Raw genomic sequence first — 24,714 nt, 5'->3', positions numbered from 1 at the left:
CAGAGAATAGGGCTAACTTAAGGGGGATCCGCTAAGCCTTCTTTTTCATGCCTTTTTTTGTTTTGTTTTGTTCTGGATTTTATAAAGGCATCATTTAGTTTTCCCTTAATCTGAATCTGTATTCATTTTTAAATATCTAATGTTGATTAGTATGTTCTATTATTTATAGCCCTCCAGAAGGATCCCAAGGGAAGATAATCTACATTTGAGAAGACGATTTCCCAATTTCCATACAGATGACGAAAACGTAACTGCCCACTACACTGCTCCCCCTGCTGAATTTTCTTTTTCCACTCTCGGTGTGTGGCATTGTGGGGTGCAGACACCTGAAAGCCTGACTGGAGATGTAACATGGGCTCTGCTGACATTAGCATGAAGAGCTTAGCTAATCGACTTGCAAAATATAGGTTAGGGAGTTTTATAGGATATCAAATTATCTTACTCTTTCATTGATTAAAGGCAAAATATTACATTAACTAGATCATTACATGGGTAAAAGGTTAGAACTTCACACACTTAGGGGTGTTGCACTATCCTTCCCCTTCCTGCCTTGTGGCAAATCACAGGTTGGAGGCAGGGAAACTCACTGTGTCTAGCGCTCCTAAATGCCTGAATAGCAACGTTAGACTTAAAGGAGGGGCATTTGCCTTCGCTTTGAATCTCCCGAGTCTTTTTTATTCTGATAGAATAGTAATCTTAAAATTAAATATTAATTTGTTCTGATTCCATTTCTGTTAGCAGGGAAAAGGGCAAATACATGAAAGGGCGTGGGCTGAGCCATGGCCAGGTTTGAGAGACAGAGTGATTCGCAGTAGTCTTCCCAGGGTGTTGAGTGGGAACGTCTCCCTGGGAAGGGATGTGGTCATTCTCAGACTGTGGGCTCAGACTCTGTCACACTGTAATACCTCTGTCAACCATCTAATGCTATCAAGGCCTTCCTGAGAGAAGTTTCAGGCCCAATCCTGATGTTGAGTTGGCATGTTCACATGTCTGGTAATAATCTGCCAGCTAATCCATCATGCTGCTCATTTCTGTGCATTATTCATCTCAAAGCCAGAGGATCTCATGTCCATCACAGGGCTGTGGTCTGTGGATAGGGAAAATTTCAAGGCTTTTCTGGGCCTGATGTAGCCATTTTCTTTCAGTATCTTAGATTGGTAGGTCTTTAGAAATTATCTCTCAAAATGTGTGTGTGTGTGCCTAAGTATAGTTTTCTTGAATTTCTCACTTCAGTACTTAACTACACATATGTGCAGAAAGTGAACTCTTAGAATTTGGCTATCCGTTCTTTCTCATTGTGTGAGAAGGAGGCAAAGTTGCCAAATTGGAGGTGGGGCAAGGTGGGCCAGTAGAGCTGTGATTGGTGTCTCACTTTGATGTGTAGGAGAGAGAACAAATCACAAGTCATTCTCTGGAAAGGAGCCATGGTCCACCCACAGAACAAGGACCCTGAAATCCCCAGTACCAGTCTCCCTAGGATGTCTTGCCTTTCAGCAGCTGTTCAGTCAAATCCATTTCAGAATGGAGAACAGCTTGTCACAGTTCTCTACTCTTGACCTGCTGATAGAACAAGGGGCTTGGAGATTTTGGGTAGATATGGAAATAGATCCCTAAACATACTAAAAAGATTTTTTTTGTACGTGTGGTGGGGGAGAGGAGAACCAGAGCAGAAGGTTGGAGAAAGAAAGTTGGGGAAGGAAACTAAAATGTGCAATCTCATTCCTCAGCCTTCTTGTTGAAAATGAGAATCAGATGCAGCAATGTATTATTTCCAAGAGCTATCTGGTGATGGGATCCATCTGGTGAAGGGCTACTTCTGGGGGACCTGGAATTGCTGTGTGACCTTTGGGAAACACTTGCCTTCTCTGGGTTGAGCTCAGCCCGTAGTTCACAAGGGGCATTGCTGGTATTTATAGACTGTGTTTGACAGTCCCGAGTGAAAGGCAACTTCACTTCTCACCCCAGAATAGCAAGCGTTGTTTCTCATATCTAGGTTGCTGGGACAGCTTCCCAGGAACCTAATATTCAGCAGCTTCGTGACGTTGGATGGAGGGTTTTTCTTTTTAAATGAGTTGATTGGCTTTTGCCACTTTACACATTGTTTTCCAGGTCTAGGTTTATTTTTCCCTTATAGGTAGAATATAAAAGAGTATGGGGTCTGCCCTGGCTCACACCGTTCTGTTTTTGCAGTTAGCTTAAAGGCATGGAGGACATTCCTGGGACTAGCATCTGCTAGCCAAGAACGAAGATGACAGCAACATGGCCGTAGAGGCATGGGCCCTGCTGGGGCTAATAACCCACTGCAGGCTATCCTTGGCATTCTTGCTGGAGTGGCCTTGCTCCACCCTACCTGGTCACTGTGCCGTTCAGTCTGGGCTATGGCCTCTCACCCCACCTCATCCCATTGCATTTCATAAGCCAGTAACTCCAAGGCCAGACTTCCATTACACTCTGGATGACTGCATTTATTTGCAGTGACTTCAAGGAAGAAGGGGCCTGTTTAGGAAATTAGGCACTGGCCTGGTGAAAAGGTCAACTTGCGAAATTGTGGCTGCAAGGGATGCCTTTTTCTTCCAAGGCTATGCCTTGGTGGTGGTGGTGAGGGTGTACAAATTGTTTTTTGTATTTCCTATTTTGATTTAAATACTGTTTTTTGTTTGGTTGGTTGGTTTTTTTTTTTTTTTTTTAAGTCCTAAACAAGTGCCACAGAGGATTTCTTTTTGGCTTGAACTTGATAAAATTTGGAGCACACAAGTTTACACACATGGTCATGAACACACACCCCTTCTCCCATCTCCCCAGACCCCCAGCACATATGTTCCATAATGAGGTGTTCCTAAGTGAGAATTCCCATAATTTGAGGTTTTATACTGGAATGGTGATAAGGGCAGGAAACCTCAGCCCATGTGCATTTTTTCTCGAGTGGTTAACCTTTCCTCTCTTTCTCCTTCTTTTTTTGCCCCCCTCCAAATTCCCCCTTCTCTTAAGAAAAAACACGTGAGCCATGTTGGAAGTACAGCCTTGACCTCAGCCTCACCAGGTGCGGCTGCTGACCGGTGCAAAAAAATAGGAAATATTATTTAAAAGGCAGGGAGGGGAGAGTTTCTGTTCCACAATCACTGCTGTTTCAGTGAAAAGCAACCCGGTTTATCTGTAAAACCTACTTCCCTTTCTGGTGAATGTGGCTGTTTTTGACAGCAGAGGACCCCAGTTGTTGAGGACTAAAGAGAGAGAAGATGAGAAAGAAGATGCTGGAAACAGAGGTTGGAGAAAGAGAGGCAAGGAAGTAGAAAGGAGGAAAAGGGGAAGAGAGGAGGCAGGGGGAGAGAGGGTTGGAATTCGAGCTATTTTCAGCTGAATGTGAGTGCAGATTTCATCAGGCTTCTGGGCTACAGGGAAACTGACTGTGTGCGGACCTTGCGTGTAACTTCCTGTGAAGCAGCCGTGGTGACTGCATTTTCTGACACTGTCAGAGTCTGGACAACCCTGCCAGCTCCTAGAAGGGCAACCCAACAACTGTCACAGACGAAGCATCAAAAGCATGAGCTGTCGATAGTGACCTGCATTTGCAGAAAATCTGAGGGCTTTCTAATTAACAGAGGAGCTCTAAATTAGAGTAAAGCTGTTCGACAAGACCCCTCATACGCGGTAAGTGTCACAATGCAGATAATCATTACATCTAACAAGCTTCTGATTTTTAACAGAAGCTATGAGACCAACTCATTTATAATGGTTCAGTTTCAAAGGGGGAAAAAAAAGCAACCAAGAAAGAAAAAGAAGGAAAGAAAAAAAGGGAGAAAAGGAAGAAAGAAAGAACAACCAGAAGAACAAAAATAGGAAAGAAAAATAAAAAGAAATCCTCCTTCTAGTGCTTTGGGCGAGTGCTTAGACCCAGTCCCCAAATTCTTCCTTTGTTGTCTGCTGAAGCATCCAGATACATCTTCTGTTTTAGATTTTCCTTACTGTAATCCACGTCTGCTAATATGCCAGCTCATTCATTTGATGTTTCCTGGGGACGAGCATCCTCTCTTGAGTTATTTCTGACAACTGCAGCATTCCACAGGGTCTGAGTTGTTGAACACAGTGCCCTAACTTAAATATTACAATCAAAACACATGACATAGACAGCAGTTGATTTGGGTTCTGCCTTGGACAGAGAAACAGACTGGGGCTAAAGGGACTGCAGCTATACCTGGGGACTTGCCTGAGATCATCTGGGACTTGCCTGGTCTCAAGTCTTCTGACCTTGGCCAGGGATCTTTGCACTGGGCAGGGGAATTTGAGTCCCAATTTGAGGCATCGATTTAAACCACTTTTCAAAGGCCTGAATGGAGCTGATTATTTGTGTGTCTTCTTTTCCTGGTCTTCCCCTTGTCAAGACCATTTCTCTACCACGGGATATATATTAGAGGGGAAAACGGCTGTAAACCCTGATTGTTGGCTAGCATTGTTCAGGAAGTGTAGCATTAAGGAGCAACACTTCTCTCGCCTGTGTTGATTCTCCTCCAACTACCCACACTATCCTTGCAGTTATTCATGGGAAATAATATAAATCACACTGCCTGATTCTTCTCAAACATCTCGCAAAGTAATCATGGGCTGAAGTGCAGGTTTTCTTGCAGTGCCTTTATCAGTAAATCAGATTTTGAGCATTTATCAGCAAAAGTTAGACTTAAACATCATCATTTCTGTAATGTTTGAAAGAAAGATTTGTTTCAGTGGGGACTCTGCCAATCAATGATCTTCCAGCTTGACTCTGCTATCAATTATTGCTGCAATTATTTGTCTAGTTGGATATTTAAAATGTCATCAGAAAGAGATGATTACACATTCTAGAAAGCAAGGCACTGTATAATCACATGAACTGAATCCAGTTAAATGTAGTGTGGTACTAACCTGTCCTTCAAAATAGAATTTTTGAGCTACCACTGAAGCAGCAGTCTTCTGCCCTGTTTTCAGGAAGCTGATCTTAACCTTGGGATGCAGTGTGCTTTCAGGGTTGGGTGATACTTAATTATGGAGAACTTTCCAAGTCTGAAAATGGAATTGCTCCTTCACATACGCGAGAAGTGCATTTTGGTTATCTCATTCATCTGCAAATCTATAAATAAGCAGTCCCTCTATTCTTCTTGCTTCCTGTGGATTTAAATGCCAAATCCTGATTTGTGGCAAAGTTGTCACATGCCCCTTTCCCACTCTGTATGCCTGGTGCCCAGGAACTAAGCAGTGGCAGTGGAAATTACAACTGTTTGGAAGCCAAGAAAAAAGCTCCATTTCTCACTTTTCTCCAGTTCCGGATATTCTCGGCTCTGCTCCATGTATCAGCCTCCTCCCCACACACCTCCTCCACTGCACACCCTCCTTCTGTCCGCTCCGTGAACAGGAAACAGAAATACAGCTCCAATTTTTTTTTTTAATGGAGGAAGAGAAACCACAACCCGAACAAAAAACTCAAAAACTAAACTCCAACCAAACTAAACTCTCAAGATAGAATCATGAGAGATGCAAAATGTCCAAAATGTCCTAAGTGGCTCAAACCACCCGCCCCTTAACAGGTCTGCCTCTCTTCCTGGGAGTCAGAAGTGACCTTGATGAACTGGATGTTAGGTCCAAAAATGACAAACAAGCCCTCCACTGGGAAACATCAGTCCAACCCCTTTCTTTTGACAGCAGGACTAGAACAGACCAGAGGTTCCGGAGAAGGTCTCTATACCTAGGTGGGTTTCCTGAGCTGGAGAATTTTCCATGGGGCTGTCTGTGTGTTGAGGCTTTTCCCCATTCACTTTCCCAATTCACTTCCCAGAGAGCATGCTGAGCTCATTCCAGGACACTGTGATGGTCAAAAGGCTCTCCCACCATCACACAGAATGTACTAGGGTTCTGTTAGAAAATTAATCTCACTTGTGGAAAAAAAATGCCCTTAAAACACTGGAGCCCTGAGTTGTATGTGCTGGAGCATGTGGGGAAAAGAAAGATGTAGGGGGTGGAGCGTCAAGAAAAACAAGACAAAAAAATTCACGAGCCATGGAAATGGAGAAGAAACACTGTTTCTGCTGCAGTTGCTCTTAGCCAGGGGCCAGCGTGGACAGCACTGTCACCTTGATCCCTGTCCTCCTTCACCTGCCAGCTTGTGGGCTGGGTGGCTTAAGTTCTAGCCCTGGGTGACCCTCTGACTCCTGAGAGCATGTGTATGTGCTTGTGGTGGGTGGGGTGTAGTGCGTTAAAGCCGCAAAGCAGAGGTGCGAAGGGCCTGGTGTAGGTCGTGGGAGACAGAGAGAAGGCCCTGGGTTCTGAATGTTTTTACTTTTCCTAGGATCCCTGCTTCATTTTTGTTTTCAAGGAGTTACTTGTTTCTCTCTTCTTGCCTTCCAGCATGTCCCAAGCAGAGATGGGTGGCTAGGTTTGGGAATGGGGTGCTGGGAGGGGAGGGGATATCCCATTCCAGGGCCCTTCCCAGTTTTGGGGCTGGGAAGCCTCAATCTCCTTGAGCACAGCAGGGCTTTGCCTTCTTTCTTCCCTGAGCTGCGGCCACCACTGGGCTGTACCAGGATCTAGTGCAACTTGGGTGACAAGGTGTGGGTGGCTGCAGGTGTTCTCCCTGCATCTGAGGCAGGGAGGCAGCTGGGGGCTTCCAGCCAGCCTGTAATGCCCCTCCCAGGTCTAGCTTCCTAGCCTTATTTTTAAGCCCTTTTAGTGGAGCAAAAACTATTTAGAACTATGAGTTCAAAAATAGGATTATTCAAGCGGAGGTACTTCACACTGTTCTTTCTCTTGGGACAGAGATGGGGGTGCAGGTAGGGGATGAGAATAGAGGAAAATGTGGAGGATTGCTAAAACAAATTGAGAGAGGAAGGAAGAAAGGGACCCAGACTAGTAATTGAGACCAATTCACCAGAAGACTTAAGGAAATTTGACATCCGCTGTAGCTCTTTTAACTGTGTAATTACACAGCATTTGGAAAGTGAATGATTAACCTGATTGTCCATAACAACCATTGAGTAAATACACTATTACAGATTGCCAAAATAGTACAGTGAAGCGATGGACCAGCAGCCACTTTCAAGGGGCTGTAATCCTCTCCTGGGTCAAGGCTGACCCAGAGGCTCCTTGGTTAGTGAATCATTTACTAGGGAAGGTTTCCCCTGGTCACTGCTGGCTCCATGGCCTGGTCCTTCCAGCCAGGTCATTTAGAATGGCTCTCCAACAGGAAGAAAAGTTCACTGCACAGCGCTTGAATCCTAATTATTTATTGAGGGGCTCTTCTTTGCCCAGCATGGTGCTGGACAGTCAGAGGTAGACCACTGAGTCTTGGTTCTTAGAAGCCTTGAACTTTTAGTTGGAGAACCAGTGGTAGATACATGCTGATTACAGGGAGACTTGGATCCAGGAGAAATGGAGTGGAGAGCCAGGTTCAGAAGAGAGACATATCCTTTACAGGCCTTTGTGTTACCTAGCCAGTGCCTTCATGTCCCCAGCCCCCTGGCCTCCAGCTCCTCCACCCCCACCTTCCCCCCTCCTCGCTGTCCTTGGTGCAGAGTGGGGCAGTCATCTCAGTGGGGCCTCCTCCCGGGGAAGTCCACAGCTTGCTCCACACCGGAGGAGCCGCCAAAGTCAGCCAAGAGCCGCAGGCCATAAATGCAAAGTATGATTTAACAAAAGCAGCTTTTGAGTGAGAAAGCTGAGTGGAGTTGTCCCAACCTGTCAACTTCAGATTTCTTTCCTCCTCCCCATAAATCAAAAAACGGTTGGTGGAAGGGAGGGACAGAAGCGTTTCATTTTCAGATTTTGTAAGAAAATAAAATAAAATCAAAAGAACCTGTCCCACGCTGATACCTTACATGCCAGGTTTGAGCCTGAGGCAAATTTTTGTGGCCATGTAATAAGCCTCTTTAAAATGGTGACAGACCCTTGACTCTTTGCCTTGAATTACATTGATAAAAGACATTTTATTGCATTAGAGCTGGGGCAGGAGTACAGGACGGTTCTTGCCTGGTCGGCCTCTTTGAAACCGCGTCAGCCTGCCGTCCACACTCTCCACCGCCTGACAGGGTTTGAGTGCGATGGCAGCTGAGATCTGTGGGCCGGTGACAGAGGGGGCTTTCTACCCAGCAGTAGAAGGTTGAGGCCCTGGAAGCAAAAGGATTTCAGCCTGAGGGGCTTGTTAAGGGAGAGTTATTCTTTCCTGTTCCTAGTAGACCTGAGAGAGCTTGACGTTGGTGGCCTCTGGTCAGCCTCATGGTTGGGACTGCGTGGAAATGCTAGACCTGAGAGACCTCATTTCCCAAGCAGTCTTAGAGAGACTCAAAACAAAAAATGGTCTCCGGGTCCCACCGTGGTGTGTGGCCGCTGTGCCCGCAGAGGCCAGGTGTCCATAGGCTGAGTCCCCACGTGGACCTGCTAGGTGGGTAGAAAGGAGTTGAAGATGTTGTGCTGTTGGTTGGAGGAGCTTGGAGGTGTCTGGGAACATTGGATGTTACTCATATGGAATCAGCAGAATTAGTAGAGCCAAGAACAGACGGCAGTGCCACACCCCATGGCTGGACTGAGGCTGCTCCAATGATGGCAGGTTGTATCTGCGGGCATCTCCAATTTGCTCAGGGAACTCTTTCCAGATTGGTCAGTGGTATAAATGAAGGATTAGGAAATTGGGTAAAAAGCCAGGGAGGAGGGAAAAAAAAAAAACAAAAAACAAAGCACGTCAAAGCCAAGGCCTGTGTTTTGTTCTGTGGGACTTTGCCAGAGAGATGAGGACTGAGGCTGGGCTGCTGTGTGCCTGGGAGGCGGGAAGGTGCTGAGGCACTGCAGAGAAGCAGCTGCAGCATGCCCCGGGCAGAGGCCTGTTTTCTGAAAGAAGGACTTGCCGTCATGGGAGGAGGCCTGGCCTCGCAGCACCAGAGCGCTCCTTCATTCAGCCTCACCTCAGGCGAGAGGGCAGCCTAGTTTTATTCCTGAAGAAATGTTAGAGCCTGACCTGCTAGACCATTTTTTTTGGTAGAGCTTTGAAGCCTTAAATTAGTTCTCATAATTTCTGAGCAGCTCTGTGTTAACCATAGGACATAATAGGTTTTAATTCTGGAGAATGGCCAGTTCTGGTTCTCAGAATCTCTTGGCCAAGACTGTCACAGAGTATTAGGCCTGTGAAGTGCCTTCCACGCTTCCCCTGAAGTCCACACACCAGTCACTCAATAGTGCCAGAAAGGCAAGTGAGGAGATTGCCTGAAAGGGGCTGTATGACCAGTGTCCAGACGACAGGTTTCTGCCGCGGCCCTGAGGTGGCAGTGGGAGGGGTTTGTCAGAAGGTGGGCAGGGTCCTGAAGCCCAGCCCTGTCCTCCCTGTCCACAGCAGGACACTTCTGAGATCTTCGAGTTCCTCACTGGGAGGTGAGGCTAATACCTTCCCTCATTCCACAGGGCGACTGTTGGGGCAGGATGTGAGGAGAGTACTTTGGGAAGAACATAACACTTTCCACCCAGCCTGGGCAACATGGTGAGATCCCATCTCTACAAAAAATACAAAAATTAGCCAGGTGTGGTGGTGGCGCATGCCTGTAGTCCTAGCTACTTGAGAGCTGAGGCAGGAGGACTGCTTGAACTCGGGAGGCGGAGGTTGCAGTGAGCCAAGATTGCACCACTGCACTCCAGCCTGGGCAACAGAGTGAGACCATGTCTCAATTAAAAAAAAAAAAAAAAAAGCTTTCCATAAAGGCCAGGACAGATGTGCTTCCTTAAGAAGGGCTAGAGTTGGAGGCCTTGCCCTCCTCTGGGCTTGTTGGCCTTGGGGGAGGCCTGACAGAGCCTTCCTGGGGCTGCCTGTTCTTCTGGCCCCTTCTCCGTGCACAGACCAGTCTTGGATGATAAGTCAGGAAAGCCCTCCACCTGGCCGGGCTGCAGTGTCGCTGGGGCTGCCCACACTTGCTGACCATGGCTCCCCACTCCCTTGTCTCTCACAGCACCACTGCCCCTGTTTCCACAGTGCCCACGAACAAAACATCAGGAGTCTCTTGGAAACACCATGTTTGATTATTTCTTTCTTTCTTTCTTTCTTTATTTATTTTACTCTAAGTTCTGGGATACATGTGCAGAATGTGCAGGTTTGTTACATAAGTATACATGTACCATGGTGGTTTGCTGCACCTATCAACCCATCATCTACATTAGGCATTTCTCCTAATGCTATCCCTCCCCTTGCCCCTCCACCCATGTTTGGTTTTCTTTAGCTTATTCTAGTATTTTCTCAAGACCGATCGAAATGATAATATAGAGGCATAAAGCACATTTGTTGTGAGTTGATGCAGATAAAAAGGCTTGGGGTGGTCTTCAGAGTAATTTGGGAGTTGTGTGTTCTGCTGGCTTTGATAGACAAGCCCTTCTCTGCTCTGGCAGGTGTTATCAGAATCAAACGTTTGCAAATGATCATTCTCATCGCATCCATCTTCACAGCCCCATGCCTCTTCCTGAATGCTCAGTTGAAAATGCGTATTTCACCTTCCTCAGGTATCTAATACTTAACCTGGGAGAAACGCAAGTGTGGTTTGCAAGGCTTTCCAGGTGTCCAAATGATGATTTCCCATCCTTTTCTTCATTTCTCGAGTGGGGCAGGGAGGCATCGGGGTGTTTGTGATACGTTTGTGTGAAGCTGGACAATTCGGGTGACAGAAATATGTTCAGGGCAGTGTCTTTTATCGTCCCTTCTAACTACAAAGGCATGGATTGCAGTTGAGCCCCACTTTCAGAAGGCCCAATACACACAAAAATCTCATTAATGGAAACTGATAAATTAGAGAGTGATTTTTCACATTACAGAAAGATTGTTAACTTTTCAAAAGGTTTCACCACAGGGTTTCTTTAAATAGTGAGCTCCCCCACTGAATTTAAAGTGTTTGTTTACAGATCATTAACTACTTGACAGAGAGGATATTGGGGGTTGGGGGAAGGAAGACACACTTAAAAGGTAAAATGTTAGAAGCCCTGCCAATTTTCAATGAGCCTGGAAGGGTGACGAAACATCTCTGAAATTATGTTGGTTAGCAAATATGATTTATTTTACAGAAATTCATTTTACACATGGCTTTCCAAGAACCCTCCATGCTGATGGGGTGTGGTGGGAGGTCAAGGACCACAGGGTGCTGGGCTTTGCTGTCCTGGTTTGTGGTGGCTGGGGAGAGGACTCCCTTTTCTTAGAGTCCTGTGTGTGCCTTTGTGAGCAATGGGTGCCAGGCTCTGGCATGAGGCCGAGCTTTGCTACTGGACTTCTGGCATGAGCCACTGAGACCTTTTCCCTTGACATTTAGCCTGGGTTTGGGGAAGTTTCTTCCTGGTTCTCTGACCTTCAGTCTCATTGGCTCAGGACACACCTAGGTTTCCTCCTTGAAGCTCAGACATGTAAACTTTGCAAGACTGTGTCCCAGGAGGTTGAAATCCATCATCAGGCTCACTCTCTAAGCCTAAGGATTAGCCTGGGGACCAAGCCCAGCCCTGAACTCTCCTATAAGGCCCTCCTCATCCAGGTCAAGGTCATGAGGGGAACAGGTGTATCCTGGCCAGCTTCTAGCACGGCCTATAGTAGGTCTCTTGGTTGGTCCAAAGGAGGCCTGGACTTGCATGGGAGGCAGGAGAGAGAAGCCACCCCATCTAATCCAGTCTTCTCCTTTTAAAGATGGAAACACTTAGGGCCAGAAAGAAAGGATTTATTCAAAGTCACGAAACAGCTGGTGAGTGGCAGAGTTGGGGTTGCAGAACTTAGGTTCCTGACTTTCCTCTAGCAGTCTCTCCAGAGGAACAAGTCCCTGCTTCCTAAAGGAAGAAAAGAATCCGGGGAGTGGTGGCAGTGGGAATACATAGAGCAAGGGCATCTCTGAAAGTAGCTCCCAAATAACCTGATAAATACCTCGGATAGAGGCAAGGCTACACCCCTCCCCCTGCCCCCACTACACACAAACAAGATCCTCAGCTGAGGACTCAGAGCAGGAGTAAGGGCACCCCTATCCTCCCCATGGCTTTGAAAAGAAGAAAGAGGGGAAATTTGGAGGGATGGTCAAGTTGATGATTGAAGAGACAAAGTAGTGTAGGAAAATCTCAATGTTTCTTGCACAGTCATTTGTTGAAAATGTGTCAGCAAGTACAAGCCCATCTTAAACTGGCAATGAGACATCTGAAATAGATTATTTAAGCCAGGGAGGCAGTATTGCAAGGAAGAACATGGCTATCAACACTTGTTTGTCTGACTCAGAGGAATAAAACATAGTAAATTTTGCCTTAGCGGGCCACCCACATTCATTGGGGGAAGAAACAATTGAGGTGGGGGGAAAACAGAACAGATGAACCTTCATGGAGTTTCACAAGAGTCCACATGGTTGTGTCCCTTATTTTCAGAAAATGTGAAATTGGAAAATACGCACTTGTGAAAGCTGAAGATGTCACAGAAATCTTCAGAGGATTTATTTAGATGGTCGTATCCTCCGCTGTCAACTGGATGAATCAGTGTGCAATATTTTGATGTGAATGTAACCGCCTATTGGGCCCCATTTACTCTGTGCCCACCTTGGGCTTTGCTTCTCTCTAAGCATCTTTACCTGCTTTTTCTTTTTATCTAGGATATCCTTTCTCTTGGCTCTCCAGGTTTAACTCATAAGTTTTCCTCTTTCCCAAAGCCTCTCTCCCTCCCTTCCAAATGGAAATAATTTCTCTTCCTTTGAATTTCCATAGCAGCTCATCTGTACCTCTCTCATGACACACTTTCTACATGGGGGTAGAGCAATTTCTGTGCAGGCCTTACCTTTTCTACTAAATGAAGCCTGCTGTGGGAGAAATCTGTGTCCGTGTTTTCTTTGTACTGCCCACAGCGGCTAGCCCATTGCTTTGGGCATTGTAGGCACTCGGTAAATATTTGTTGAATGAATGCATGAGAGGTTGAATGAATGCATGAGAGAATGAATGAATGGAATTTATCCTGGGAACACACATTTTGCATAGTGAGGTATGTGATTAAACAAACAAAAAAAAATTGTCCTAAGACAATTTGTCTTTTTATGCAGCTGCCCTCTCAGTCTCCTAGATAAGTTCCGCCATTCTAAGGCAAAAGCTTAAAGTGTAATAAAAATTTATCTAATTCACGATCAAGTGAAAATACTTTGGGCCCAGAGCCAAAGAATATTATTGGAGTGAACTTTTTTTAACACCCTAAATTTAACCAGCTGGAATTCTTTTTTTAAGTACCATCCTATTCAACCTTTTGAAATGAAGGATTTGCCTTTTAGTGGGAAATCTGCATTTCAACACAAAGATGGAACACAATGTCTTTGGCTTAGTTGCTTTTCAGAAAAGCAAGATTTTTTTTTTTTGGAATTATATGCTTTGCTTATGTTAAAGACACAGCTTGCAGAAAAATTTTGTTTAGGCCTGACAGATTGGTGGCTGGCATTTTTATAGATAAAGGGGCACGCAAAATGTCATCTCTACTTCCTCCCTTTATTGAGAAAAAGCCTAGGAGGAGAACTCTTAAAAGGTGAAGTTAGTAACCTGTTGTTTGAGTAATCAAGGCTCTAAGAGGATAGCATTGATCAAAAAAGAGTTTTAAAATGAGTGATTGATGTTATTAAAGTCACTGGTGAAGTATCAAGGAATCTAAGGACCATGAGAGAGTTTCAGGGAAGAAATTCTATATTGTAGTGTCTATAATTATTGCTTTCTTTTGTTTTTGCAGAATACACTTTTTAAAGAACATCAGGATTTGGTAAAACAGCCAGTAAAAAAGCAATGAAGGAAAAAAAATGCACATGTAAATGCTCATTTCTAGAACAAAAGAGAGTGCGATTTTGACAATATCAGAAGGTTAATTAAGAAGTCTGTGAGTGATGATAAAGCTGGCACATTTTCATTACAGATTGACACAACTCAAGTCACAGGCATAGCTAATGTTTGCTCTATAATACTCTGATAAGTCAGAGAATCTAAGTGAGAAGAACTGGTATCTATGGTAAACATAGGGTCAAGAGCTAGATGCGGCTGAATAGAAAGGACATTTACTTTGCAGTTAGGTAAAGAAGCCTCTAGCTCAGACTAGCTGCACTGTTGTTATTTGTGTGGCTTGAACCTAGTAATCGGATTCAGAACTGGAATGGGTTCCTTCAGGGTACTTTACAAACGTTCAGGATGCATTTTAAGTGTAGTCTAGAAGGTGGTACATGGAAGAGCTGAGGGACTTGAGGATTATGGACTGCGAAAGGACTGTAGGTAGTCCTGTATTTTGGCCTGTCACCAATATAGAGACCCCTCCTCATCATAGTGTCATCCATTCTCTTTTTGAAGACCCAGGGTGAAAGAAAGGGGGTCACAGTGTCACGAGATAGCCCATTCCACGTGGGACAGCTCTACTGCTTTTGTGCCTGTCTCACTGAAAAAAAAAAAAAAACAGGGAAATTATCTAAAAACATATGTTTAGGAAATATACACACATTCACACACGTACACAGACACATATGCACACACTCACATATACACACACATGAACACGCTAACACACATGTGCATGCACATGCTAACACATGCACAAGCATACACACACATGCACACAGTCACAATATACACACATGCACATGCTCACAAACACATATGCATGCACACGCTAACACACATATGTACACATAAATGCTTGCAAACACACACACACGTACATTTTAGTGAATAGCACACATCTATGTACTCCTGTGGAGAGTCCTGTGGTTTTAATACCTGTTAAAGTTGGGCTCCCAAAGCAGTCATTAAACGTGTTGGAATGATGCTTTTTGCTTAGCTGTTTTGGCACATTTGGAAATCTGCAGTATTACCTGTTGATTAGTAGACAGTAATGTGGCTGTATTACACACCCAGTGATTAGTTTCAGAAACAAATAGCATGTTAATAGTCAAGGAATCTTTGAGATGTTCTTGAGGAAACCAAAAAACTTGATTTAATGACTTAAATTCCAGGAACATCCCACTGGGCTTAGAGCTCTTTGTCAAAAGTTGGTACCCAATATATGTAGAAATGTAAAGTGACCAAATGTATAACATTAAATCAAAGCCATTCCCAGTTTGCTGCATATTTTTTAATGAAACCTGAAAAATAAGAGTCACTATTTTTAAATTCAGCCATAAGGAAACTTTGCAACCTAATAATGTGTAAGGCATTTCTGAGGCCCCAAGTGGAAATACTGGGTCTAGAGAGACCTTTATGAAATAGAACAGGTTGAAACACCTTCCACCAGAAAAGTGTAAGACATTTGAAAAAAGATTGAGTCAGAAAAGGGAAATGTGTCCCATTTGAGAGACCAGAAAGGGAAACAAGAGTCCAGTTCCTGCTGTGTCCGTGCAGTTGCCACAGCTGCGTTCGCTGACATGTCGGCTTTAATGGAAGCAGTGAGGACACAATCTGTCTGGCACAAGCTGGTTTGGGTGTTGTCTCATGCTAAGAAGGCCCTGGACCTGATGGAGAGCCTGGACCTGTTCCCTGTCCTTATCAATGACAGACGGAGGGTGGAACCTGAATTTCCTAATGGAGGGATCCTTAGGGATTCCCTAAGCTTAATTTGTTTTTGACTGTTCCAGTCCTAAAGGAGGTGGGTCCTGGACAGGAGGGAAAACAGCCTCATGGCCCATGGGTCTCTGCCCAGGGAATTTCAAAGCTTCCAGCGTTCATACTTCCCTTACCCTAAGACAGCAGTGCTGATTCAGCTTGAGTGTGCATGAGAATCACCTGGAGAATTTATTCAACATAGAAGGCTGCTTCCCCACCCTCAATTTCTGATTCAGTAAGTCTGAGGTGGTGCCCAAGAATTTGCATTTTGAACAAACTCCCAGGTGATGCTGATCGGGGGTGGGCCTGGGTCTGCGCTGTGAGAATCACTTGCCTAAGAGCACTAACAAAGAAAAAAAGAGGACATAACTAGATCACCCACTTCCTAGCCAGCAACCAGAGCCCATCTCTGGCTGGGGAGAATGAAAGCGAAGGTGGGAAAAGAAGAGGCCCTCAACCAGGGGCAGCTCCTTTTCCCCACCTTGGCCTGGGAAGGCAGAGCTGCTCCTCGAGTTTGACGCTCAGAAGCATTAATTGTGATACTTTACTTTGCCTAAGCCGTGATGAAATAATTGAAGGCATCATAGCAAGAAGTTAAGCCCTAGGGAGGCTATTAACAATTTAGCATTTCCAGTTCATGTGGGAATGTCGATTTTACTTACCAAAGAGAATATTATGGATGTGTTTAGTGGAAGAAGCAGCAGAATCAGCTGGGGTCCCCAGTTGGCTTTGCTTTGACCCTCTTCCTGAAGGAAGATAAATGCAAGGGTGAGTCTCACAAAGACAGTGTGCTTTTTTTCTAAAGTAAATAGCTTCTTAGGCTGATAGAAATGTTTTTAGCTGTCTAATTCTGCAGGGGAAGCAGAGGTAGAGGGTGAACACAGCAAAGGTGAGGCCAGGAGGCCCAGGCAGCAGAGCAGGCCTTGTTTTCCAATTGTGAGACCAAGTCAGTTCATTGGCACCTTTCGAAAGCCCCATGTAGCGCTGCTGGGCTGGACCCTCCCCCAAGACGGTTAAGTACTGCTTAATGGATCAGTAGAAACAGGACCTTCTTGTTGGGCAGTGAAGACCACGGCAGGAGCAGCAGGGGGGAAGAGACAAATTCCCAGGAAAGACCACTGGATCAGGAGTCAGGAGATTAATTCTAATCTTCACATTGTGGTTAATCATCAGTGTAGCCATGGGCAAGTCACTTAATTTCTCATGGCCTCAGTTTCCCCATCTGTAAAATGAAGGGACAGACTTGATGATAGCTAGGGTTTTTTACAACTTAGAAAACAAAAACAAAAACAAAAACAAAAACAAACTATGCTGCCAGATAGTCAGATGAGACCTCACTTTGCCACACGGCCAGACACTGTAGAGATCTGGTCCTGCCGTCAGCTTGTTTAGGGCTAATGGGTTTGTAGACAAGTTTGCCAACAAGAGATTCATGCGAGGGGCTAGGCATGGATTAGGTTAGCAGTTCTCCCATTTCTTGCTGGAGGCCTGCTGAAGCACTTCAGGGTCTCTTCCCAGAGTAAGTGGCAGAGAATTTGAAATTTGATACTCCCCATACAAGGATCCAAGTACCTGTTGCGTTTATGCTGGGATCACAGAGATACCTGGGTTGCCTGTGTTTCCTAAGAAAAGGATGTCTGTTTTGGCAGCAAACTTAGTGAACGGCTGAGGCAAAAACAAGTGCAAAGATGGATTCTCAGATTTCTCATTGAAAAATACCATGACAAAATCTGTAGTAATTTTACGCCACACTCTCAATTCACTTGACGTAAACAGTCAAATGTAGACATACTTGTTTGTTAAGTCCGGTCTTCCTGCTTGTGTTGGTTCACTTTGTGGTGTTTATTTTGTTTTGGGTCAGAGAGGATGAAATGTCTCTGTAGATGTTCTCAGGCTAGGTGGTGCTTCCACCAGGGCTTCCCTCTGCAGGCCTGGTAACAGCAGACCTATGCTGTCTGTGTAAGAGCCTTCTCAGCAGCACACCATCGTTACCCACCAGGCTCCTTGCGAAAGGAAATCTTGTCCCAACTGCCTTGGCTGTGCTTGGCAGTGTGCTCTATATAAGGAGAACAGGATGTATTTTACACTTGAGACCTGCTATCCTAGAGTACAACAACAACACTTCTAAGTGCTCTTAATATTAAGCTAATGGAAAACATACTGTTTGTTCACCATCAAAGTCTGTTTTTCTTGTCTCCCGCCCTCCCCAATCATCATGAACTCCAAACCTCTAGAACACACAGAGCGTCTCCTGCACCATCTATCCTCCAGTCTGTCTCAAGATGGACAGCTACATGGTTAGTTAGCTAGAGGAGGACTTGGAAAAGCTAGGCACTTACCACATAAACCGTAAAATCCCCAGATTGCACAAACCAAATTTTCCTCTTCTCAAAAAAATCTCAGTGCTACAAATGTTTCATTGACTATTAGATTCATTTTATTAGTGTGAGAAGTCACTTGTCTTCACCAGAGTACAACAAAGTGCAGTAAAATGGTGAAGATGGGTCAGGGTTTCTGGGTGCTGGCATTATTGGAATGCTGGTTCTTTCCTTGTCATTTAATGGTCAAAGTTATTTGGACCCCAGAAGTCTAATCTTTATCTTCCATTGCTTTGTATTGTGAGAAGCCACATCTGTGTAAGGTTTCCAGTTGACAGGATTCTAGAGTATGGCCCAGCTCAGTCCAGAAATGCCCAGGTTTCCCCTATCACTGAAGGCGCTATCATAAATATAGCATGGGAAGAGGGGGGCAGAGGGACAGAGAAAGCAAAGTGGGACTCTGTCCCATAAAAAACGATTCACAAATCTACTCATTTCCTATCAGCATTTTGCTTTTTGCTTGGGTTTGTCTATAAAGTAAAGTTAATGTATGCATGTAAACCAGCCTTGCAGATAAAATCCCCCCATGTTTCCAGGCTACCCACAATATTACCAGTTTTCCCCTTGCTGCTTACACATCTTCTTTCCACAAGACAATAATCAAACAACAACAAATAAATAAGCAAATGAACCAAAGACCACCTCTCCCCTTTCCTAAAACAAACCCTTTCACTTTTGTCAAAAAGACCGAAATTGAAAACAAAACAGAAACTCTGGGAAATAACTCACCACTCTTCTTTTGTTTCAGGCCTTGGGCCTGTTAACTATCTGCAAGGCTGTTGTAATGATGTTGTAATCTATTTTAATGGAATTGAAATGTGATATCCTGTGGTTTATGATGCACGTTGTTTGTAGCTGTAGTGCTTGATTTTGGGTTTCTTTCACAGATAAACTTCTGCACTGGAGGGGCCTCTCCTCCCCTCGTTCTGCACATGGAGCTCTAATCCCCACGCCTGGGATGAGTGCAGAATATGCCCCGCAGGGTATTTGTAAGTTGAGCCTTATTTCTTCTACAAATGTCCATGTGTATAGAGATGAGAATTTCTGGAAATTGCCCTTACTTTTTAAGTACTGAAGGAGTTACTTCCAAAATAGATTGTCATATGTATTATTCCATTACTCACTTGGCAGCCGCTCCCCACTCCACTCAGCCCCAGAGGGACTTCTTCCCTCCCCTTTTTCTTTCCTCACTGGAGGCTGGGAGCTGATAGTAGCTCATCCCTGTGGGTCTTCTCCCCAGGGTCTTGTCTTGCTCCGTGGCTAGTGATTGAAGATGCCTGTGCCTCTGGAGCCCATTTTATTACTGGACATTCACTCCTGTGGCCTCATTTAGGACTTTGGGTATAGTCCATGGCACACATCTTTAGCCAAGGCCAGAATCAAAAGGAGTCAGTTTAGGGTTATTCCAGAGTTATTCCAATGCATATTCCTTATGTATTTACATGTGTATTTGAACATAGTATATGTTGTATATTCATGCCCACACATAATTTTGACTAATTTTTCTCCTGGTTTTAGAGAAAAATGCACATCATTGTAGTTAAAATGTGAAGGCTCTACTATCACCACCACCACCACCACCATCACCACCACCACCACAACCACCACTGCCACCATCACCACCACCACCACAACCACCACCATCACTACCACCACCACCATCACCACCAGTACCATCACCACCATCACCACCACTACCACCACCACCACCATCACCACCACCACCATTACCACCACCATCACTACCACCACCACCATCACCACCAGTACCATCACCACCACCACCATCACTACCACCACCACCACCACCACCATTACCACCACCATCACTACCACCACCACCATCACCACCAGTACCATCACCACCAGTAGCATCACCACCACCACCACCATCACCATCACCACCAGTACCATCACCACCAGTACCATCACCATCAACACCACCATCTCCACCACCACCATTACCACCACCATCACTACCACCACCACCATCACCACCAGTACCATCACCACCAGTACCATCACCACCACCACCACCATCACCATCACCACCAGTACCATCACCATCATCACCACCATCACCACCACCACCATTACCACCACCATCACTACCACCACCACCACCATCACCACCACCACCATTACCACCACCATCACTACCACCACCACCATCACCAGTACCATCACCATCACCATCACCACCAGTACCATCACCATCATCACCACCATCACCACCACCACCATTACCACCACCATCACCACCACCACCATTACCACCACCATCACTACCACCACCACCATCACCAGTACCATCACCATCACCATCACCACCAGTACCATCACCATCATCACCACCATCACCACCACCACCATTACCACCACCATCACTACCACCACCACCACCATCACCACCACCACCATTACCACCACCATCACTACCACCACCACCACCATCACCACCACCACCATTACCACCACCATCACTACCACCACCACCATCACCAGTACCATCACCGCCATCACCACCACCATCACCACCACCACCACCACCATCACCACCACCACCACCACCATCACCACCAACACCACCATCACCACCACCACCACCACTACCACCACCATCATCACCACCACCACCACCACCACCACTGCCACCACCATTTACTTGTTCAAGTGAGCTTTTATAGTAGGGACCATTTTATGAAACTTAAATTTGTCCATTTATACAAATGTTTTCTGAAAGATACTGTTTTAGAAAATAATACAGTTTGCTTCTCTGTGTAGGAACACATGGTATGAATCATGCATGGCTAAAAGGTTAGGGGGTGGGCAGTGATTCCACCCTAAACACAAAAAAGCAGGTTCAAGAAGAAAAGAAGTGTGACATCTAATTTTTATTTGAAAGTAAATGAAAAATAACCTGCTGTGGAAAGAAAAAAAAAGAAAAGGAAAAAGGTCATGGAGAGAGAATAACAAAGAGCAAGATGCCAGAGTTAAGGCTCTAAGGGGGACTGTTTTTAGATGGGAGGGAGATGACACTTACCCATCTTGTAAATGGTATCTGAAGAGCAGGGCATGCACCCTGAGACCAGATTCAAAGCCAGTTGTTTATTTTTGTTAACTCCTAGGTAATCCTAGGTAACAAAGAGTTATTGTGTGAATTTCATAAGCCCTCAGGTCCTGAGGGCTGGGTGGTTCAGGGGTTAAAAGCACCTCATCTGCTCCCTTCCCCCAAGCTGGGCCTAAGCCTGGGTTAGGTCACAGATTGCAGAAGGTTTAGGAGGTTGGGCTCACGGTTTCTAGTCCCTGCATGCTGGCTGGGTGGGGAGAGCTCTCCTGTTGCTGGGGGCATCTGGGGCCTGCATGGGGCTGTGGAAACGGAGCCACTTTTGGAGGGAAGGGATAGAAGGGAGTTGAGCAGTTCAGAGGAGGGTGGAGTTGAGAGGCCAAGGGCTGTTGCCAGGGAAACATAGTTCTCGGTCTTCAGCCTGGTCTTCCTGAGGGCTGGGAGTTTGATTTGACTGGTAGGAAAGTCTGAGCTTGATAGGGAACCCCTGTCCTCTCCCACCTTCCCACAAAGGGAGGGTACATAGTTTGCTGGTGCCCCTGCTGGCAGGACCAATTTAGGAGTGACCAGAACAAGGTATGTGGAAGTGGGTTGTGGGGGTCCAGAAAGCTCTAGAACAAACCTGATGCCCATTCCACTTGGCGGCATTAACCTGCTGCCCCTGGCTTCCAGAGCTCATAGCACTTCCCTGTGGCCACTCTGCTGTGTGCCAGTCACCCCTGCTCTTTAACTAGAGCCTCCTTTTGGCCTGGGTTAAGGCCTGGACTGGGACCTTCCTCTGGAAGCCGTTCGGGGTGTGTAATGTGGTTAGTCATTACCCTCAGTAATTAATCACCCCTGGTAGTAATGAAAACTCACATTCACATTCGACCTGATAGTTTACAGAGGGCTTTTATATACTTCTGTCATTTGAACTTCCCAACAATTCTTACAGGTACTGTTTTTATGCTCATTTTACAGATAGGAATTCCAAGACTCAGAGAAATCAAATGACTATCCCAGAGTTACAATCTAGTGGATAATAGAGCTAGGCCTCCAGTCTCAGACCTCCTTGTTCTTCTGAATCTTGAGGCTTAGATCACATGACTTTTTCACATTGGTGACATACTAGAAATGGGGGTCATTCCTTCCCATAAAGTAAAATGAAATAAAATAAAAGCCAGTAGGTGGGCTAATAGCTGATTTTAACCCTTTTGATGTCTCAAGTTCCTATGCTTAGGGGCCAGGTGTCAGTTTATTGCTCTAAATCAAAACAATCCCCGTAAATGCCCAATGAGGCTCTCAAATTGAGAAGTTGATTTTCATCAGAGTAAATGAAGAATATTATTATATTTTACACATCAATAAATCAATGTAGCCCTAATTTTGCCACACAGGAAATCAATTCCAGTCTTTCTAAATCATCAAAGATGTTATGAACAAAGTAATTTCACAAATTATGGCAAGTAACACATTTATTGATGACTGCAGTTTAGGAATTTAGAATCTGTGAGCACTGTAATATAATATGGTACACCGGCATGAGCTGAGTGAAATACAGATTATATGGTGAAATTGTAATGCATCATTTGCTATTAGTGGACTGGTAATAATTACCAGTTTCAAAGCAGCTCTCTCCATGTAATCTTTAGTCTCAATCGTAACAGCCCTTCTCATTGACATTATGATTACACTAGCTGCCCTCATGATCTAGAATATCTAGTTGATGGGAATACTAAAATGCGATAGTGAAAACTGTATGTTGTATGCTCATTATAAGATAAAATGCCATTTTCTCTGACCTGATGTATGAGAGAGAGGGGAGGATAACATCACAGTGTTAACATACTGTAGCATGATCACATAACTGGCTCTGAAAAAAAGTTTAGGATGCTCAGGGCAGCAAAATAAAATGGACTTTTCTCATTTAAGCCTTTTTGAAAGGATACAAATGAGATCCTTGATGTAGTGCTGTATGCCACAGATTTTGGCATTTATCAATGACTACAATTCATGGCACATGTGAAACCAGCACCACTAATTATGAGTCTAGTCCTGGATTTCAATCGATGTTTTATAAGGTAAAATATAATTTTAAGGCATTTGGAGTGATGAACGTGTTAAGGACTTGGATTATCAGACAAATCTTTTTACTTGCCCAACTCAGATCGTCAGGCTAAATAGGAATGATAGTCACCCAGAGATCTAGGGAGGACAAGGAGGAAGCCACAGAGGATCATGTAGTTGGAACCAGATAGTTTTTTTTCCAGCCTATTTGGGACCCAAGTTATTGTTCAACAACAACAAAAAATTTATAAAAATGTTCTCAATGAAGCTTTTTATTTCCCTTTGAAGAGAGGAGGCAAACAAAAATAGGCAGATAATGTGATACTAATGTCAGCGTTTTCTTTCAAAATCTTTCTGCCTTTTTTCCCCCTTCCACATTAGACAAATGTTTGAAACCTAATTTTGGTATCTTACCATCTAATCTTGTTTAAGAGATTTACCCAGGAGTGAGATATATTGAGTGGGATTATAAATGCGTTGTAAAGTAAATTACAAGGTCAGGGCAGGAGTCCATTATTTAGACAAGTGCTTGAGCGAGGCTGGCTTATTTTGGAATACCAGTGTTTGGGGGCTCCTGAGAAGACCCTGCCGGCTTTTCTTTCTGACTTGCTAAATGGAGGCATCATATAATTGATTAATTCCTCATTCTCACTCTTAACCTCCCTGGTAGATTTTTTTTTTTTTTCCTTCTTAGAAAGTTACTGACAAATACTAGCTGTGGCCTTAAAGAACTCTTGCAGCCCTTCTTTTAAAAGAAGGAGAAAAGTTTGTTATTTCTCAGTTATATTTTAAGGCTTTTTTTTTCAGAATCTCTGGGAAGTTTTGTTTTTCTCATCCTCGTCCTTTGGCTACCATTACTTCTGCCCTTTTTAATGTTGCAGTTGACTAGTAAACTGTTGGTCAGTTATTCCATATATATATATATTTAATGTAGCTATCTCCCCATATATATTTAATTTAGCCATCTCCCCAAATGAAATATTTTGTGAAGTCAAGCTGGCCCTTCTTTGCCAAAGTGGCATTTACCACTCTTGGGTTCTTTTCAGCAAGGGAAATAATGTGACTTAAGCAGGGCCCCTCTCCAGACGGCTTGGCTACTGGCCAGAGTTGACTAGCTGAACTGTATCTTTCTGTTTCTTTCTCAACTGGAGCTGAGTCCCAGCCGAGGGCGCAGGATGTTGTATAATTTGGTTCACGTTGTTAGCCTCTCAAAACAATGAGGAGGAGGATAGTGTAGCATTTCTCAGCCTGCTGCCTGTCATGGCGCTGGCTGTTTTAACTGTTCCTTAAACTAGGATGCTGTGTCTGCTTAAGTCGGCACCAGCCACTCCTCCTAACTTTTCCAGACTTGCATTTGTCTGACCGGGGGACAACTCCTAAAGATTGGATACAGCCTATCCGTTAAATCTGAATGAAGTTTTTCTTTCAGATTTTTTAAACATTCTTTGAGATAAAAATGGACGTCCCCATGGGGTGTTGTGGAACCAAAATTGGGACTCACTGATCCTCCCACAGTCTGGGGTGTGAGAATGTTGCTAGTCTTTTTTCCACGGAAGTATTTTATGAGTACCCTCTCATTTTAACAATATCAACAATTAGTGTGTTTCAGGCTAATGCTGAAAGCATCTTTAGGGCCATAGAACATTGTAGTGAGTTGACCTTCTTCCCCTT

General features: G+C 44.6%; 1 protein-coding gene across 37 annotated transcripts in view, besides 4 other annotated features; it reads left to right on the top strand.

Annotated features, from left to right (window-relative positions):
• Positions 1 to 24,714, top strand: part of BCL11A (BCL11 transcription factor A) — a 103,405-nt gene that overhangs the window by 66,274 nt on the left and 12,417 nt on the right. For 25 of the 37 annotated variants that reach the window (NR_175964.1, NM_138559.2, NM_018014.4 and 22 more), the window contains one exon: positions 18,818 to 18,919. The exons of 10 other annotated variants lie outside the window; for them this stretch is intronic. Coding sequence is in view for 26 of the 27 variants with exons in the window: in NM_138559.2 (NP_612569.1) it covers positions 18,818 to 18,919 (102 nt within the window). In the remaining variant the exon portion in view is untranslated. Of the gene's footprint in view, positions 1 to 9,411; positions 9,488 to 18,817; positions 18,920 to 24,714 lie in introns of all 37 variants that reach the window. 2 more of the 37 variants (NM_001405728.1, NM_001405727.1) reach the window with 1 other exon arrangement.
• Positions 1,876 to 2,375: an enhancer, noted in NCBI's record as "H3K27ac hESC enhancer chr2:60712411-60712910 (GRCh37/hg19 assembly coordinates)". NCBI's record gives its function as "activates a minimal SCP1, AML or CMV promoter by ChIP-STARR-seq in primed H9 embryonic stem cells {active_cell/tissue: H9 hESC(primed)}" and the evidence as "EXISTENCE:reporter gene assay evidence [ECO:0000049][PMID:30033119]".
• Positions 2,376 to 2,877: an enhancer, noted in NCBI's record as "H3K27ac hESC enhancer chr2:60711909-60712410 (GRCh37/hg19 assembly coordinates)". NCBI's record gives its function as "activates a minimal SCP1, AML or CMV promoter by ChIP-STARR-seq in primed H9 embryonic stem cells {active_cell/tissue: H9 hESC(primed)}" and the evidence as "EXISTENCE:reporter gene assay evidence [ECO:0000049][PMID:30033119]".
• Positions 6,099 to 6,599: an enhancer, noted in NCBI's record as "H3K4me1 hESC enhancer chr2:60708187-60708687 (GRCh37/hg19 assembly coordinates)". NCBI's record gives its function as "activates a minimal SCP1, AML or CMV promoter by ChIP-STARR-seq in naive H9 embryonic stem cells {active_cell/tissue: H9 hESC(naive)}" and the evidence as "EXISTENCE:reporter gene assay evidence [ECO:0000049][PMID:30033119]".
• Positions 10,356 to 11,169: an enhancer, noted in NCBI's record as "OCT4-NANOG-H3K4me1 hESC enhancer chr2:60703617-60704430 (GRCh37/hg19 assembly coordinates)". NCBI's record gives its function as "activates a minimal SCP1, AML or CMV promoter by ChIP-STARR-seq in primed H9 embryonic stem cells {active_cell/tissue: H9 hESC(primed)}" and the evidence as "EXISTENCE:reporter gene assay evidence [ECO:0000049][PMID:30033119]".

Source organism: Homo sapiens, chromosome 2, assembly GCF_000001405.40.
Source record: "Homo sapiens chromosome 2, GRCh38.p14 Primary Assembly".
NCBI lineage: Eukaryota > Metazoa > Chordata > Mammalia > Primates > Hominidae > Homo > Homo sapiens.
Note: the sequence above shows the minus strand (reverse complement) of the source record. Positions and strands in the feature narration are given on the sequence as shown.